Consider the following 18,279-nt stretch of genomic DNA (forward strand, 5'->3'; position numbering starts at 1 on the left):
TGTCTCAACTAGAGGCAGCACCAGCCTGCGAGCAGGTATTTAGAAATGGGTGGGCATTCGGGGTTGTCACAATGACCAGGGATTGCTATTGGCCTTTAGCGGGCAAGGCCAGGATGCTGAATGTCTGTGCAGAGTGGGCCGTGCTCATCTAATGAAGAATTGCACCACCTGGAATAGGGTCCAAGTTAGAAAAGTTGAGGGCAAGAAAGTTGTTTAGGATAAAGGGGATTTAGGATAAAGCAGGGATTTACCCACAACCTCTGTGGTTACCAAGAACAGGGTGGGAGGCAGCCAAAGGGATTCAGGTGGAGGTAGCAGGAACCGGGAGGGAAGCCTGTCTCAGAGCAGCAGATGTGGCTTTAGGGATGCAGGAGCTTGAGGATGGGGACCAAAAAAGGGGCGAGTGCTGGAGGAGAGAAACTGGCAGAGCCACGGAAGCAGAAAAGGACAACTTGTTGAGCAAGAAGATTTGAAGGGAAAGGACCTGTGTCTTGAGACCTGAGCGGGCAGGCGGATTCCCAACCGATTACAGACAAACCCACAAAGGAAGCCTGTGGAGAGGGGGTAGTGGCGGAAGGGCTCTAATGAAAACAATTTTGCAACCTTACTTATAGCGTTCTCCAACCTTAAACTAATAGCTATTCTGCACTTTAAATATAGCATTGGCTCCAGAGAAGACTCTGAAATCTTTATTTTTACCGATCCAATTGGCTGTTTTGAAAACCCACTCTGTGAACCCTGCAGAAGATAATTATCAAAATATGTTCCTTGAAGTGCCCAAAGAAAGACCTTTTATTCAGTTCCTCGAATCTCTCCCCCTTGTTGACTCAGATGGAAGAATGCAGTCCCAGAAAGGCGAAAGAGGGAACCAAGGACACATTTTTGGTCAACCAAAAGAAAGCCGGCATTGGTGACCACAGTTGAGTTAGCAGTTGGTTAACAGGTCCGGGCTATTTTCTACCCCCAAAGGGAGAGCTGAACCAAGCTCAACCCCAGTGGAGTCAGTGGCCGTGCTTAGCAATGTGCCAAGGCATGCACCCTCCATCAAACTTGCTACGTGGCTCTGTGAGAGCAGACTTAAAAAAAAAAAAGGAATTTCTCCTCTTGTGGCTGTCCTTTCTGGAGTTTGAGATGGATATTGTGACCTAAGGGATGACAGGAAGAGAGGCCCTTTCAAATTTCTAGTGGTCACCACTATTTTATGGGTCTGGGTTTGCAGCCTTGGCCTTGGCCTTGGCCTTCCCAGGCTATTTAACTTTTTTTTCTAAGCACCTTGCCTGCGATTTGGGTAGTAATCACTGCAAGAAGATTGGGGCCTGGCTGTGCCTTTCACTAGGAAATCCATGGGGCTGGCTTCTTTATGACAGGGACCATGGCCCTCCCTCATAGCAGCTGTGGTCCCTTGGGGCCTTGGGATCAGAGCAGGCAGAAACTGGCTCATGGAGTCTTAGATGTTCGTTCTTTCATGATTCCCATGCTGTCCCAAGTTTGTTCCCAGAGAGGAGTTTTCCCATAGGTTTTTAGGTCCCAGCATCACCTTATCTTCTCCAGTGTCCTCTTCCAAGCCCATCCGCTCCTGCCAAAATAACCTTGCTCCTGGAATCCACAAAATGAAGAAAAGAAGGGGAGAGAGAGAGAGAGAGAGAGAGAGAAGAGAGACAGAAGGCAACCAGTGCTATTTCTGCCTTCCTATAAACGGAGTCTCTCTCTAGACACCTAGAGCCTATCATAACATGATGATTTCATTACCCCTTCCAGACACCCAGCATGCTTCACACTCAGGCACTCCTCGATTTTCAGCATGTCAAGAGTCCTACATTTCTTTATACATGACACAGACAAGAACCAGCGCCTTACTTTAGAGAGCTATAGACATATTACATACAGGTGGTATTGAAAAGCAATTAACTGGGACAACAATGGAAAAACACGACCCCCCCAAACAAGAACCCTTGGAGCTTCAGGAGAAGAATATGATGTCCCTTGTTCTGTTCTGCGAAGGGGAGGGGAAGTAGAGCCAACATTTTGCTCCTACCCAGTCCTCCACCAGCTCATTCCTTTGCAGTTCAAACACCAGCCCTTGGTATATAAATTTCGCCTTCGCTGCAAAATTTTATAAATTTCGAAAGGTATATAAATTAAGCCTTTGCACTCCAAATGCATCCATCGTCCCCAACACTCCCTAGCCATGGAGAATCCTAAGAATAAACCAGATTCCAACCCTATTTTAAGTCATCAATCTTCATTTTTTAAATACACATGAGCTCCTGATTAAAATAGCAGAGGATAACAGTTAACTGAAGACATAGGCCTTCGCCGAGGGCCAGAAAACACATCTTTATGGAACATCCACTATGTGATCAACCCTGTGCTGAAAGCAGTTGAGGGGAGCTTTCCTGACCACAGGGATGTAGCAAACTGCTAGGAGCGTGACCTGTCAACAGATATCAGGCTTATATGGAAAGGTCTTGTCCCAGTTCTGAGGCGTTTCTGAGATGGGCATGTGCAACTCTGCAGACACTCAAATGCGTGTTTGGATTCTGCCTCAGATTCTTGGATATTTAGGAGCCACTAACCAGCTTCCAGGCCACTTAACCTCTCTGAGCCTTTGTGACATGATGGAGGTGAATTTGCAAATTCCCTTCCCACCCTCTCAGGCTGTGGTTCTCTATCCCTGAAACCCCTTTGGAGAGCTGGTGCACCTAACTCTAAGTCAGTTTGCCCTTAATGGCAGGAGAATAGGCATAGAAGACGGAGAGGGGAAGGAAATTCTTTTCCCATCTCTATTAACCCTGCTTGGCCTAGTTCAAGGAGGCACTACGGATGCCTGCCTAATCAGTCATCCTCTGATCAATCACTACTCTGGGGCCTCAGCCAGGGCTTTTTCATTCTTGGTGACTGTTTATTCATCCATACATATTCTGATCAGAACAATCTTGGTATAACATGAACATAATGAGCTTGTGCTTGCAAAGGGCTCGGCTTATAAGAGCCTCACAAATGCTTTGGATTATGTTCTCATTAAGTGAACGAGGCTACAGTGGTGAGTTACTACAGCATTCCAGACATAGGTGAGTCAGGGGTCCCCACAGTCCGGGGCTTAGTGCTGGAAGACAGGAAATCCAAGGGATTAGAGAGAGAAGACCTCTTTGGGGATTGGGGAGGGCTGTGAGTTATGGAGCTGAGATGTCAGTGGAGGGAAGATGGCCAAACACCCGTGGTCCCCCTAGTCTAGAGAGATCCAAGATCTTCGCTGGCAGCCGCCACTTCCCTTCCCATGGGTCACTCGGTGCGTTACTGGAAAGCCTCGTTAGCAATTTCCACTGGCTAACAGTTGCTAATCTGGGGGGCTGTCCATTGGGAAAGCTGGTTATAACAAAGCTCTGTGTTTTTTGAGAGGGTGTTTGCTGAAGGCTGGTGTCAGCCTTGCTTGATTTAAGTCATCCCAGATTCCCTGCAAAGGCTATAAACAGTGAAGTGATGAAATGGGCCCTAGAGCCAGAACAGGGAGGAGGCCCAGTCACGGGGGAGGGCAGAGGAGCTCATCAAGGATGGAGAGAAACGAGGAACCCGGCCAAGGAGGCAGCTCTGCTCTAAGGGTTGGAAGGAATACCTCCCCACGGTAGCCCCGGGGCAGTGGTGAATACAGCCCACAGCCCACAACGTGGTTCTGACTGGGGTCTCTGGAGGTGAGAGGCCATGGCTACTAGGGTGAGGTTTTGGTCAGACAGAAACAGAAGGTACCAAGGAATTCCCCTGCCTTGCCCCAGCCATTCATTTATGGGAAAGAGATCATAATCCTGGTGACTGCCCAGGCCAGGCTTCCTTGTAAACTGTTGGCAGATTGACGATGGGACAGCTGCCCAAGGAGAGCTGAAAGTGCTTCTTAGGATATGCATGAAAACAAACTTCTCATGCTTCCTTGCTGTTCCCGCTTTACCCTCCAAAGCACTTGCCCGCACCCCTGACCGCCCCCGCCCCCCCCCCGCACACACACACTATTGCCCCGGAAAGCAAACCTACCTGGAATCTCCTATTGTGGAGAGGAAAACCAGGATTCCGGAAGCTTTGCCACTGCCCAGCTCTATGACTTGAGCCAGGCATTAACAACCTCACACCACACATACACAGGTACACACACATGCACACTCATGGGCAAAAATGCACGTGCACACATGTGCAAGCACAGGCACACACGCAGGCATGCATGTATACTCACACATGCATCGGACACACCCTCACACACATGTGCACACATACACAAAGTTTAGTTTCCTCACCTATCAAATCAGGAGAAAATGTTCTCTCTCTGTCTCTCAGACTAGTTGTAGGGATCAAATGGGATAACAGATGTGAGAGCGCTTTCAAAGTCCTAAACCCCAGGTCTCCTTTGTCGCCCCAGATTAATTCAATCTCTGGGGGTGGACCCTTGAAAGCTCCCCAGAGAGCTCCACAGGCAGGCATAGAACTGCTGGGAAGCCTAATACCAAATCCTTCATTGGTTTATTTGAAATTGTGTTTGTTGAGCCTTTCTCTGTGCCGGCTCTCTGTGCCGGCCACTGTGCTAGGGATGTTGGATAAAGCAGTGAACATGACAGATAGTCCCTGCCCTTGGAACTGAAGCGCTGGGGAAGAGAGCTGCCGCATGGACAGGAGAGGAGCATTCTCCTAGGGAGAGCACAGAGCATGTGAGGTGTGGGCAACAGGGCCTTACGCTAGTCTGAGAGCTCAAGAAAGACTGCTGGGGAAGTGACGTTTAAGCCATGCGTGAAGGCCGAGCAGAGGGCACTCGTGGTCTTGATGGTGGCATTTTTAATTTGGGGTCACCCTCAGTCCCCTCCCTACTGAGTCCATTCAGAGCTGCCTTTGCTTACCAACAGCGCCTTGCCAACTGCATCTCAGCTCCTATGTTGATCACAATGGCCGTGGCATGGCATTTGGGCCTCAGGTACTCACAGGTCTAGGATGCGGCTCAAGATGCCCATCAATCATGGTCAGGAGCCCCCGAGGCTCCGCAGCTCATTCATGTACCACCCTCTTCTTGTCTACCCGCTGACCTTGTAGTTGCAGAAGCAAGGTTTCTTAGCACTTTGTGGAACCTTTGCTCATTACCTCAAGGTGGTTGTAGGTATGGTAGAAAAGATTTCTGAGTTCACATCTTGGCTTCACCACTTCTATTCTGTGGGCTGCTAAGCAACATTCTTCACTTCCCTGAACCTCAGTCTTTTTGTCTATAAATGTGACTCTCTGGACTGTAAAGTTTATAAGATGTTGTGAAGATTGCCTTGAGGCAAAACCCAGCACTTTATTGCATTAAAAACAAAAAGGAGGCAGGGCGCAGTGGCTCACGCCTGTAATCCCAGCACTTTGGGAGGCCAAGGTGGGTGGATCACGGTCAGGAGATGGAGACCATCCTGGCTAACATGGTGAAACCTCGTTTCTACTAAAAATACAAAAAATTAGCCGGGCGTGGTGGCGGGCACCTGTAGTCCCAGCTACTCGGGAGGCTGAGGCAGGAGAATGGCGTGAACCCAGGTGGCAGAGCTTGCAGTGAGCCGAGATAGCACCACTGCAATCCAGCCTGGGCGACACAGTGAGACTTTGTCTCAAAAGAAAAAAAAAAGGAAAAAAGGAAAACTTGAAGCTTCTACTTCTAGCATTACCAGCTTAAAATATTCTCGGGCTATAAAATGTAGACATTAAATAAACTACAGACATACTGCTAAGTGCATAGCTAAAGGTGAAAGAAAGCAGGGAATCCTTAAGGACCCAACAAAACGGCAAAGAAAGAGATAAAGAGAGAGGGAGAGGGAGGAGAGAGAAAGAGAGAAAGGAGGGAGGGAGGGAGAGAGAAGGAAAGGAGGGAGGAAAGTAGGGAAGGAAGGAAAGGAAGGAAGGAATGAAGGAAAGGAAAGGAAAGGAGAAAGGGAAGGAAAGAGGTAAGGAAAGGAGGGAGGAAAGTAGGGAAGGAAGGATGGAAGGAAGGAGAAAGGGAAGAAAAGGCCAGGTCTTACTTACAGGGAGTGGGAGGTGAAGGGTGTCTGGGGAACTAGAGGAATCTTCTGAGTGAGGGATACATCATCTAGGTTTTAGTTAGGGACCATATTGTCCCAGAGAATAAGCACCGAATCAAACTCTGAAAGGAGACCTGCTCCGCCCAAGGCCCTTTGACACCCTGATGGGTCCTAGGTGAGATTGTGTGAAGCAGGGATCTGCGCCCATCCTGTCATCTCCTCCTCCCTCTGGCCTCCTCCTGGCTATGCTGGAGGCAGAGTCTTGGTGGGGACTATGCTGTGGCCAGATTCAGCCTTGTCCCTGGAGAAGAGGAATTCTGCTTCGGTGACCAAGTATTGGGGAATAGAAGGACGCTAAGCCAGAGCAAGCAGCCAGCTCTTATTTCTCCTTACTCCACCTTCATGGGTTTCAGCAAGCTCCAGAGAGAGCAGGCACTGAGGTGGCCCATGTGTCTTTCCCAGCGTGTGGAAAATGGGGAGCTCTCCTCACCCAGAGGGGTGGGACATCCCAGCTCCTCAGCCACTTGATTCTTATGTCCGCTCCCTTTTTGCAGCTTACATCAGGCCACCTGGAGCTCAGTGAGCTGGCTCAGGGGTAGAGGTGGGCATGGGATATGGGGACAGGTAAATAAAAGGGGCTGCTGGAGAGGCCTGGGATGGCTTTGGGTCTGACGGCACTGGCTTCATTATAGTGAGGTCGGCCGGCGGCGATGGAGATGCCTTGTGCGTTACAGAAGAGGACCTGGCGGGTGACGACGAGGACATGCCGACCTTCCCATGCACCCAGAAGGGTAAGGACTCTGGGGCTGCCCCTGATCTCCGCTCTGGGCTGAGAGATCCCTGTCTCCATCCCCAGGCCAGTGAGAGATTTGTCTCTTTAGGTGGTTTCAAAAGCCTGGGTGTCCTTTCCCCACTGCTTCCTGGATGGTGAAAGGGCAGAGTTCACGGCCCTGGGCGTGCAGTACCAGTGAAGTCAAAGGAGTTTAATGTTTTTTTTTCTTAAAGACATGGTTTTGCTGTGTCGTCCAGGCTAGTATGAGTGGTGCAACCACAGATCACTGCAGCCTCAAATTCCTGGGCTCGAGTGATCCTTCCACCTCAGCTTCCCAAGTAGCTGTGACTGTTGGCACGCACCACCATGCCTGGATAATTTTTTTTATTTTTTGTAGATACAAGAGTCTTGCTATGTTGCCCAGGCTGGTCTCAAACTCCTGGCCTCAAGTGATCTGCCCGCCTCAGCCTCCCAAATTGCTGGGGTTACAGGTGTGAGCCACTGTGCTTGGCCTGAAATCAAAGCTTGACACAAGTGCCACCTGTCTCCTGGGGTCCTCCCGAGACCCATCAGGGACTTCTGCCATCTCCCAGAGCTACATACCCTGTCCCTGGGGCCTGTCTTCTAGCTGGCCTGGAACTGTCCCCTTCATTGTGTCCCATGCCACCTGAACTGCTGTTTGGAATGGGGTCTCAGTGACTTTGGTGTAGAGTAGAGCAGTTGTTCTCAACCTTGGCTCTTCATTGCAATCACCCATGGATGCATGAGACCAACCCTTGGAAATTCCTATTTGGCCTGGAGTGTGATCTGGGCATCAGGATTTTTAAACGTCCTAGTAGTCAGAATGTGTGGCTAAAGGTGAGTTCACCTTAGGAATTCGCAGCTGGGCCATCACTGCATTCCCACTGGGTGTTGGCCACCTGTCTGTGTATTCAGGACCATCTGGTTCCCTCTTTCCTCCATGCCAACAATTCAACTGGTGGACCATGACTATTTGTTTGGTTTCCAGGAGAACTTCTGGTTCCCTGAAAAGTTTGGGGACTGGTAACCAACATTCTGGTTTGCCAGGGACTGAGGGGATTCCCAGGGTGTGGGGCTTTTCATTTTCTTTTTTCTTTTTTAAAATAGAGATGGGATCTTGCTATGTTGCCTTGGCTGGCCTCAAACTCCTGGGCTCAAGTGATCCCCCTGCCTCAGCCTCCTCAAGTGCTGGGATTACAGGCATGAGCTACTGTACCCGGCAGGCTTTCAGTTTTAAAACCCAGACAATCTTAGCAAACCAGGATGATTGGCACCATGCTGAGGAGCTCCTGTGATGGGAGACTTTCAGTGCTAAAACCCAGAAGATCCTGGGCAAGCCCAGACAAGTTGGTCACTCAGTGGGGCCTCAGGCTGGCTGCTCATCCTGTGGGTCCTCAGTAGGACCAATGGAGAGGGAAGAGGTGTTTCCCCTCCCCATGGGCCGAATGAAGACACCATGGAGAGAGGATGATGGTAGTGCTGGGGGCTGTTCTTTGAAGTCCTGACTCGGTCTCCTGCATTCCAGAAAGCACCAGCACCTAGAGAAAGGAGGTAGGACAGGTAGAGAATGAGGGTCGAGAACAGCTCCCCTTCTGAGCCTGGTTTGAATGTGATGAGACAGACCAGAGCAGGAACATGGAACTGACCCTTCAGCTCCAACCTGGGCCCCTGGCCTAAGCCATTGTCCTCCTTGTGTCCCCCACAGGCCGGCCAGGGCCCCGCTGCAGCCGCTGCCAGAAGAACCTATCTTTGCACACATCGGTGCGGATTCTTTACCTCTTCCTGGCCCTGCTCCTGGTGGCCGTGGCTGTGTTGGCCTCTCTGGGTGAGTCCGGGGCTTTCCCACCCCGGGCTGCAGGGGGGTGTCTGATCAGGGATCCAGCACCAAAAGTTCCCCTGCAAAGACAAACACTTGACATCTGTATCCCAGGGCCCAGAGCCAGCATCTTCCTGGCTAGGGGATCTCTATGCCTAATGCAAACTGCAGACACTGGCAACTGACAAGATCTGTGGCCTTAAGGAAGGCACCTGCCTCTGGGGACCCCTTCTTTCCCATTGGTGTAATGAGATGATACGACCAGGTCAGTGCTTCTCAGTTTCAGCTCCATGTTACAGCCATCTTGGAGCTTTAAAGAATGTCGATGTCTAGGCCCCACCCCGATCGTGGAATTAATTCGGTATCTTTCAACTCTCCTGATGATTCTGTTGTTCACCCAGGGTTGAGATCACTGGATTGAGTGACTTCTAAGCCCCCTTTTATGGTCTGTGTGTTTCTAAAAGTGAGGCTGGATGCCTACCTGCAGCAATTTCACCTCCAGTATTTGTTAAAATGCAAATTCCTGGGTCTCCCTCAGCCAGACCTGCTGAGACCAAGGAATCTGGGGGGTCCTGCAGGTGAGACCCAGGGATCTGAGGTTTGGTTCTTCTCATACACATTAGGGTTTGTAGTAGTTGACCTAGGTCACAGCACACAGCCAGAGGCAAGTCACTTCTGCCTTCCAGATGCTGACAGATTGTGGTAAACTTGTTACAACAAATTTGATGTTTGTAATCCCATTCCACTAAGAGTGCTAAGAGTGCAATCCCATTCCACTCTTAGCTTCAAACTTTGAAAATCCGGGCTCTGGTAGGCTTGTTTGTTCCAATCTACTGGATTTTAGAAACAAGGCCAGGAGTAGGGAGAGGCAGTCGAGGCTCCGAGGGGGGCCCCCTGCTCTCATGCAGACCCTGAGCCTGAGCACATCCCTAAGGAGAGGCCCCTCGTCCTGGCCCTGGCTGGAGATATTCGGTAACCAGCCTTCTTAGCTTGAAGGCAAGAGGCCAGCATACTAATGATTTGAATAGACACAAGTCGTCTTCCAGTAATCCGAAGGCATTAATTAATCCAACAAAAGCCGGGAGCCTGCTCTGTGCCAGGCACTGGGAACACTGAGTTGTGTCAATTACATTTCACCATCAAGGGGCATGGTTCTTCCCTCTTGTCAGGGGATACTGGAATCCCTTGGAAAGCATTTAAAAATACTAGTGCCAGAGTACCCCCTCCACTCACTCCAGATGAATTAAATCATCATCTCTGGGTAGGACCCAGGCCTTAGTCATTTGTAAATCCCTTCAGGGGATTCCAGTCCGCAGCTAGATTTAAGAACCAAGGATTTCAGAACTTCCCAAGCCCATCACCACCTGTGTCTGCTAAATCAATTCACAAGGTTTGGCATTTCAGAAAGTGGCAAAAATCCCAGGCCAGAGGAGGAAAGGAGCCACGGTCTGCCTATCAGAGGCCACAAACTTGCTGTCAGAGAACTTGTCAAGATTTCTGGTCACCCCTTTTAGGGCCTCTGCTCACAGCACTCAAGGCACCTGGGGCCATTATCAAAGCTCCAAGAGCCACAGGATCAGGCCCAGAGAAGAGCGCAGGCACCGAAGAGTTTCAGAGAGGATGACAGAATGTGAGACGCTGTCATGTGCATAACATCCATGAGTCAGCCTGGCAGGCTGGAGCGGGAGGCTGGCCCCATTCCTCACGGGAGGGTACAGACCTGGGAAGGGGACAGGATTTGCACCAAGATCCAGAGTGAATGGACAGAGGATCAGAACAACCTGGGTGAGGAGTGTGTGTTTGTGAACCACGGGAGACCTTTGGGTTTCCTTTTTTGTTTTTGCCTCCAGCTTGGGTATCCCAAGTCCCTAGAACAGTGTTGGCACCATCTTGGCCTAAATGGCAGGTGCCCAATAATATTTGTTGAAAGAATGATTATAGATTTGTAAAGCGTGTGTGTGTGTGTGTGTGTGTGTGTGTGTATGGTGTATGTGTGAGTCTGTGGATAGACTGGTCAATGCTTTACAACCAGAACTGTGACCAAAGTCCAGAGGGTTGGGAAAATCAGTCAGCAGACATTACAAACCAACTCTATTCATTTTAATCAAGTTTTTTTTTCTAAATCAAGAGCATACTGGGGACCAAGAACTATATTCTATACTGGGCAGTATACTGCTTAGTAAAACACAGACCCTGCCTTCATGGAGCTTATAATCTAGAGCTGATTATGGCCATTTTTTTCTGTAAAAGGCTACATAGTAAATATTTTAGGCTTTTCAGGTTACATACAATCTTTGTCACAACCAAACTCGTCACAGAGCAAAAGCAGCCACAAGCAGTCTGTAAATGAATGGGGGTGGCAACTCCTGTAAATCAGGCATTAGGCTGGATTTCACCTGCAGGCCATAATTTGCAACACCCCTGGTCTAGAGCAGTGATCCCTAAACTTTTTTGACCGTGCATCCCATCAGTAAAAAATTCATTTAAAATGCATTCAAAAATTTACATGGATTGATGAATGGGTGAAAGAGATGGATGAATATAAAATAAATACAGAAAAATGCTACTTGTAGAATCTAGGCAATAGGCATATAGGTCTTCACTGTACAAGTCCTTCTATTCTTTTGTTTGAAAAATTTTTAAATTAAATGTTAGAAAAGAAAAAATTGTTAGCGTCACAGCCCCAAAATATACCTATTTATTTATAAGTGATGTATATGTACTATTTGCCATATTGTCTACATAAAACATAATTTTATAAGGATGAAGAAAAATCATGTCTAAAAAGTGAGGAAAAATGGCTTAAAAAGCAAATATATAATTATTAAGCCTGAGATGCACAATGAAGAAATAAGCAAGGCCAGGTGCAGTGGCTCATGTCTGTAACCCCAACACCTTGGGAGGCCAAGGTGGAAGGATCACTTGAGCTCAGGAGTTTGAGGCCAGCCTGGGAAACATAGTGAGACCCCAACTCATTTCAATTAAAAAAAAAATTGAAAATTAACTGGGCATGGTGGCACATGCCAGTAGTCCTGGCGGCACATGCCAGTAGTCCTGGCTACTTACGAGGCTGAAGTGGGATGATCACTTGAGCCCAGAAGATTGAGGCTGCAGTGAACCATGATCACACTGCTGCACTCCAGCCTGGGTGACAGAGCAAGACTGTCTCACAAAAAAAAAAAAAGAAAAAGAAAAAAAGAAAAAAGAAATGAACAGGTGAATGAATTATATGGAGTGGAGTGAGCCTCGGCTGTTGGCTTGGAAGTAGAATTAATGAAGCATAGGAATAGGAATCAAAGTCACTCAGTCTCTTTGTGTCTTTGTTCATCTATGCATGAAATCTTAATTGTAGGGAGGCTCAAATGGAATCATAACTATTGTAAACTGTACAGTGCTTGTCTCATGTAACAGCATGTGCTTATTCCCAAACTCTCTCAACATGTTGCTGTTACTAATTAAGTAAATCTACTGACAGCTCTGAGATGTACAATATTAACTGGAGCCTGGAGATTCCAAATAATTTGAAAGCATAGAATTTTGGTGCTGATGAGAGCCTTAGAGTCATCGAGCTCCACATTTTCATTTTACATATGATTGAACTGAGCTCAAGAAAGGGTAACTGACTTGCCCAAAGTCACCCAACAAATGTGATGTAAACTAGGACTAGAAGCTGTGTTACTCAGTGCTCTTGGTGGTGCTAATTCTTTCCCCTTGTACTTGACCTTAAGAGGATCTGTGGGAAGCATCTTGCTGAACCTCAGAACAACCCATGCCCTCCCTCACTACCAGGCCCATTCAGGCACCCGCTGGAAAAAGCCAGGCGTCCTGCTGCTGCCAAGACGTGCTCTAACCACTGGCCAACATGGCCCCCTTAGTAGAGTGCAAGGCTGCCCGTGGGGTATAAAGTGGTGTAATCTTTTCTGGGCAGCAGTTTGGCAGCTTGTATCAAGGACTTCAAAAATGTTAATACCCTAGGTCCCATAATTCTATTTTAAGCAATTTATCCCAAGAGAATTATCATATACACATAACCATCATATATAAGGATTATTTCTAGAATTAAGCATTACTTATATTTATATATCAAGTTTTATTTATGAGCTCAGAAGAAGAGGTACTTTAAGTGTCCTCAACAGTAGGAGATTCTTACATAATTGCTGTATTATTTATATAGAGTGCCATGCAGATACCAAAAGTAGTGATTTTAAAGTGATTTAACCCTGGATGGAAAAATGTCCGTGACATGATACTGATAAAGCAGCATCAAAGAAAACAGATGAGATGTTCAGAACATCCCAGTTTTGCTTTTGTTGCCTAAGAAAGTACAGTAGTCCCCGTTTATCCGCAGTTTCAGTTACCCTAGGTCAATCGGCAACATCATGGCTTGATGATCCCCCTTCTGACATATGGTCAAGGTCAGTAGTAGCCCAATACTAAGTCACAATGCCTATGTCATTCACCCCACTGCATCTCGTCACGTAGGCATGGTGTCATCTCATGTCAGCACAAGAAGAAGGATGAGTATGGTACAATAAGATATTCTCAGATACAAAGAGACCATATTTACATAACTTTTATTATAGCATACTGTTCTAATAGTTCTATTTTATTATTAGCTGTTGTTAGTCTCTTACTAGGCCTAATTTATACATTAAACTTTATCTTAAGTACGTATGTATAGGAAAACACATAGCATATTTAGGGTTCCATACACTGAGGTTTCAGGCATCCACTGGGGGTCTTGGAATGTATCCCCTGCAGGTAAGAGGGGAACACTGTATATATCTATGTAGCTGAAGAATGGTTATCAATGTAGACAAGACTAGAAGAAATCCATGAAGACACTGATGGCAGCAACCTTTGGGTGGTAGGAATAAGAATAATTTTTTTTTAATTTTTTTTCTGAATTTTCCCTGTTCCATTCTGTGATCAGGTCCTATTTCTAACATGTGGGGTGTGGGGTGAGTTATTCTGTTTCTAAAGGGCCTTGTGGCAAACTCTGGCCATAAGAAGTATCTTCCCTAACCGCCATGAAGAAGCCTGAGAGAAGAAGGGTGAAAGGTTTTGGTTGCAGAGGAGCTGATAAAGATGCCTTCTCAAGGAATGACTGCTGTTTCTCTGAGCTTAGACCCTGCCCCAGCTTCTCATCTGTTTTCCCTACAGTTTTCAGAAAAGTGGACTCTCTCTCCGAAGACATCTCCTTGACCCAGTCTATTTATGACAAGAAGCTTGTGTTAATGCAGAAAAATCTCCAGGGCCTGGGTAAGTAGATGGGCTGATGACTGTGATGCAGTGATCTTCAGGGTGGGGCAGGGGTGCCCTCCCCACGCTACAGTGCCCCAGCACCAAGCAACCTTCACCAGCCTTCTAGGCACAGAGGCTATCCCCAGCTCCCTGCTCCCTCCCCAGCCGGATCTCCATCCATTAGAGGAGGGCTGCTACCCTGGGATACTCCCAGGACTGGAGCAGGGGATTCTGGGTGGACCACAGATCTAGCCAGAGTCTACAGGCAGAGAAGGAAGCCAAAGATAGTCCATTCCCAAAATAGCCTCATGCATCTGAAATGATGAGAGTTTCAAGACCTTGCAAAACCTCCTGCCAGGTCAACCCTTTCCTCATCATTGCCTTAAGCTGTGCCACGATTCTTTTCTTTTTTCTTTTTTTTTAATATGTGCCATCTATTTATCTATTTCCATAATTTTAACTTTTGTTGTTATAGATTAAGGGACACATGTGCAGGTTTGTTACTTGGTTATATTGCGTGACACTGAGGTTTGGGGGGGTAGAAATGATCCTGTCACCCAGGTAGTGAGCCCAGGTACCCAATAGGTGGTTTTTCAGCCCATAACCCCCTCCCTCCTCTCCCATCTAGTATGCACTGAAGTCTATTGTTGCCATCTTTATGTCTACATGTATTCAACCTTTTTTTTTTTTTTTTTTGAGACGGAGTCTCACTCTGTCACCCAGGCTGGAGTGCAGTGGTGTGATCTCGGCTCACTGCAAGCTCCACCTCCTGGGTTCGTGCCATTCTCCTGCCTCAGCCTCCCAAGTATCTGGGACTACAGGCGGCAGCCAGCATGCCCGGCTAATTTTTTGTATTTTTAGTAGAGATGGGGTTTCACTGTGTTAGCCAGGATGGTCTCGATCTCCTGACCTCGTGATCCGCCCGCCTCTGCCTCCCAAAGTGCTGGGATTACAGGCGTGAGCCACTGCACCCAGCATCTACATGTATTCAGTCTTGCTCCCACTTATAAGTGAGAGCATGTGGTCTTTGGTTTTCTGTTCTTCTGTTAATTTGCTTAGGTCATGCCACAATTCTTGATGTTCTTTATCCCCTGCTTTAACCTGGAACAATCTAAGAGAGAATGAGACAGAAGGAGCAATGATAGAAGGGTTTAGAGTGGTCTTATCTGACGCAAATAGAAGGTTCTGGTCTGGCACCAATATACGTGGCTATTTACCAAGCCACTTCTCTGCACCTCGTTCCTCTTGATTGTATTGAATGTATTATTTTGAGAGGATTGAATAAGATAACAGATATAAAAATACTGGGAGAAATTTTTAAATAAAGTTTAAATGGGAAGTTCCTGGCCACCTAAGAAAAATTATGAAGATACATTCTTGAGAATTTGGTGGTGAGAAGGAGGAAACATCCTAAATGCTACATTTCAGATCAGAGTCAAGAAAGTCGGTAAAAATGAGATTCCATAGAGGTGGCAAGGCTTTTTCAAGAAGGAATTCATAACAGGACTTCTGGAAGGAAGTTGGTTTGGGAAGCTACTAACCAATTTCTTATGCTCTGAAATATTTAATTTAAAGAGGAAGCGTCGTACCCTGGCCCTTCAGCAACTCAAACTGTTATCCCTTTCCCCTAAAGATCCGAAAGCCCTGAACAACTGCTCTTTCTGCCATGAAGCTGGGCAGCTGGGGCCAGAGATCCGAAAACTGCAGGAGGAGCTGGAGGGAATTCAGAAGCTGCTTCTGGCCCAGGAGGTGCAGCTGGACCAGACCTTACAGGCCCAGGAGGTGCTCTCCACCACCAGCAGACAAATCTCCCAGGAGATGGGCAGTTGCTCCTTCTCCATCCACCAGGTTAACCAGTCTCTGGGGCTCTTCCTGGCCCAGGTGAGAGGCTGGCAGGCCACCACAGCTGGCCTGGACCTCTCTCTGAAGGACCTCACCCAGGAGTGCTACGATGTCAAGGCTGCAGTGCACCAGATCAACTTCACCGTGGGGCAGACTTCCGAGTGGATCCACGGGATCCAGCGGAAGACAGACGAGGAGACCCTGACCCTCCAGAAGATTGTCACCGACTGGCAGAACTACACACGGCTCTTCAGCGGCCTGCGCACCACCTCCACCAAGACTGGAGAGGCGGTCAAGAACATCCAGGCCACCCTGGGGGCCTCCTCACAGCGCATCAGCCAGAACTCAGAGAGCATGCACGACCTGGTACTCCAGGTCATGGGCTTGCAGCTGCAGCTGGATAACATCTCGTCCTTCCTGGATGACCACGAAGAGAACATGCATGATCTTCAGTACCATACCCACTACGCCCAGAACCGCACTGTGGAGAGGTTTGAGTCTCTGGAAGGACGCATGGCTTCTCACGAGATTGAAATTGGCACCATCTTCACCAACATCAATGCCACCGACAACCACGTGCACAGCATGCTCAAGTACCTGGATGACGTGCGGCTCTCCTGCACGCTGGGCTTCCACACCCATGCCGAGGAGCTCTACTACCTGAACAAGTCTGTCTCCATCATGCTGGGCACCACAGACCTGCTCCGGGAGCGCTTCAGCCTGCTCAGTGCCCGGCTGGACCTCAACGTCCGGAACCTCTCCATGATCGTGGAGGAGATGAAGGCAGTGGACACACAGCATGGAGAAATCCTTCGCAATGTCACCATCCTACGAGGTAAGAGCTGGGTCCAGGTAGGGCTGCTACAAAGCTTCCACTGAGGCTTGGTGATCTTGCTGGACACAGAAGTACCTGGTTTTAGGCAAAGTACTAGTGGGCTAACACAATCCTATAGCAAATGCCTACAGCAGTCGGCAGCTTTAAGAAATGTCCTTGCATTAGCCAGGCATGGTGGTGTGTACCTATACTCCTAGCTGCTTGGGAAGCTGAGGCAGAAGGATCACTTGAGCCCAGGAGTTCGAGGCTACAGTGAGCTATGATTGCACCACTGCACTGCAGCCTGGGAGACAGAGTAAGTCCTTATCTAAAAAAAAAAAAAAAAAAAAAAAAAAAAAGAGAGAGAGAGAGAAAAGAAAAAAGGAAAAGAACATCCTTGCAAACCTCTTTTGTAAAGGTATTATGGCTTCTAACTTTGCCTATTATACAAATCTGGATTTTTGTATTTAGATTTATTTAACCAAGTCCTAATAGAGAAATAAGCAGATCTTGTCTTTTGAAAACTGTCTCCTCTTTTTTACTCCCTTCCCACCCCCTCATTAATGCTCCCAACCACCCAACCCTCTGCCCCTGGAGGCTGTCACTCTGAAAAACTCTTCTCCTCTCATCCCCCTCATGTCTTCCTTATTTATCAGGGTTCTCCAGAGAAACAGAATCAATAGTGTATGAGAGAGAGAGAGAGACAGAGAGATCCACAGAAACAGAATCAATAGTGTATGACAGAGAGAGATCCACAGAAATAGAATCAATAGTGTATATATATATAGAGAGATAGACCCAGAGAAACAGAATCAATAGTGTATAGAGATGATAGATAGATAGGTAGATAGATCCAGAGAAACAGAATAAATAGTGTATAGATAGATGGATATATAGATGATTGATTGATTGATTGATCCAGAGAAACAGAATCAATAGTGTATAGAGATAGATGATAGGGATGATAGAAATGGATAGATAGATAGATAGGATAGAGATAAAGAGATAGAGATGAGATAGATAGATAGATAGATAGATAGATAATAGATAGATAGATGATAGATAGATCCAGAGAAGCAATCAATAGCATAGAGATAGATGATAGATAGATAGATAGATAGATAGATAGATAGATAGATCTAGAGAAACAGAATCAATAGTGTAGAGTGATAGATGATAGATAGATAGATAGATAGATAGATAGATAGATAGATAGATCCAGAGAAACAGAATCAATAATGGAGAGAGAGAGAGGTGATAGAAACAGAGATGATAGGGATGAGATAGATAGAAAATAGATATAGATAGAAGATAGCTAGCTAGCTAGATAGATAGATAGATAGATAGATAGATAGATAGATAGATAATGATAGAGATAGATGGATAGATGGATATTATAAGGAATTGGCTCCTGTAATTAGAAAGGCTGGCAAGTCCAAAATCCGCAGAGCTGATATCCCAGTTTGAAGACCATCAGGCAGGAAGAATTCCCTCTTACTTGGGGGAGGCTCAGCTCTTTTTTCCATTCAGGCCTTCAACTGATTAGATGAGCCTGCTCACGCCAGGGAGGGCAATCTGCTTGACCCAGGCTACCTATTTAAATGTTAATCTTATCCTAAAGCACCCTCACAGAAGGCCCCAGAATTATATTTGACCAATATCTGATCTAGTCAAGGTGACACATAAAATTAACCATCACAAGCCCACCCCTTGTCTACTTGGCACCTGTACACATCTCCTTAAACCATACTTAATC

General features: G+C 47.2%; 1 protein-coding gene across 7 annotated transcripts in view, besides 1 other annotated feature; it reads left to right on the top strand.

Moving 5' to 3' along the window:
- The window catches only part of SCARA3 (scavenger receptor class A member 3), a 100,679-nt gene that overhangs the window by 9,533 nt on the left and 72,867 nt on the right, over positions 1-18,279 (top strand). For all 7 annotated transcript variants that reach the window (XR_949419.3, XM_047421850.1, XM_017013535.2 and 4 more), the window contains 4 exons: positions 6,707-6,805; positions 8,513-8,632; positions 13,787-13,885; positions 15,501-16,544. Coding sequence is in view for 6 of the 7 variants with exons in the window: in XM_047421850.1 (XP_047277806.1) it covers positions 6,707-6,805; positions 8,513-8,632; positions 13,787-13,885; positions 15,501-16,544 (1,362 nt within the window). In the remaining variant the exon portion in view is untranslated. The remainder of the gene's footprint in view (positions 1-6,706; positions 6,806-8,512; positions 8,633-13,786; positions 13,886-15,500; positions 16,545-18,279) is intronic.
- Positions 8,068-8,568: an enhancer, noted in NCBI's record as "H3K4me1 hESC enhancer chr8:27508580-27509080 (GRCh37/hg19 assembly coordinates)". NCBI's record gives its function as "activates a minimal SCP1, AML or CMV promoter by ChIP-STARR-seq in primed H9 embryonic stem cells {active_cell/tissue: H9 hESC(primed)}" and the evidence as "EXISTENCE:reporter gene assay evidence [ECO:0000049][PMID:30033119]".

Source organism: Homo sapiens, chromosome 8, assembly GCF_000001405.40.
Source record: "Homo sapiens chromosome 8, GRCh38.p14 Primary Assembly".
NCBI lineage: Eukaryota > Metazoa > Chordata > Mammalia > Primates > Hominidae > Homo > Homo sapiens.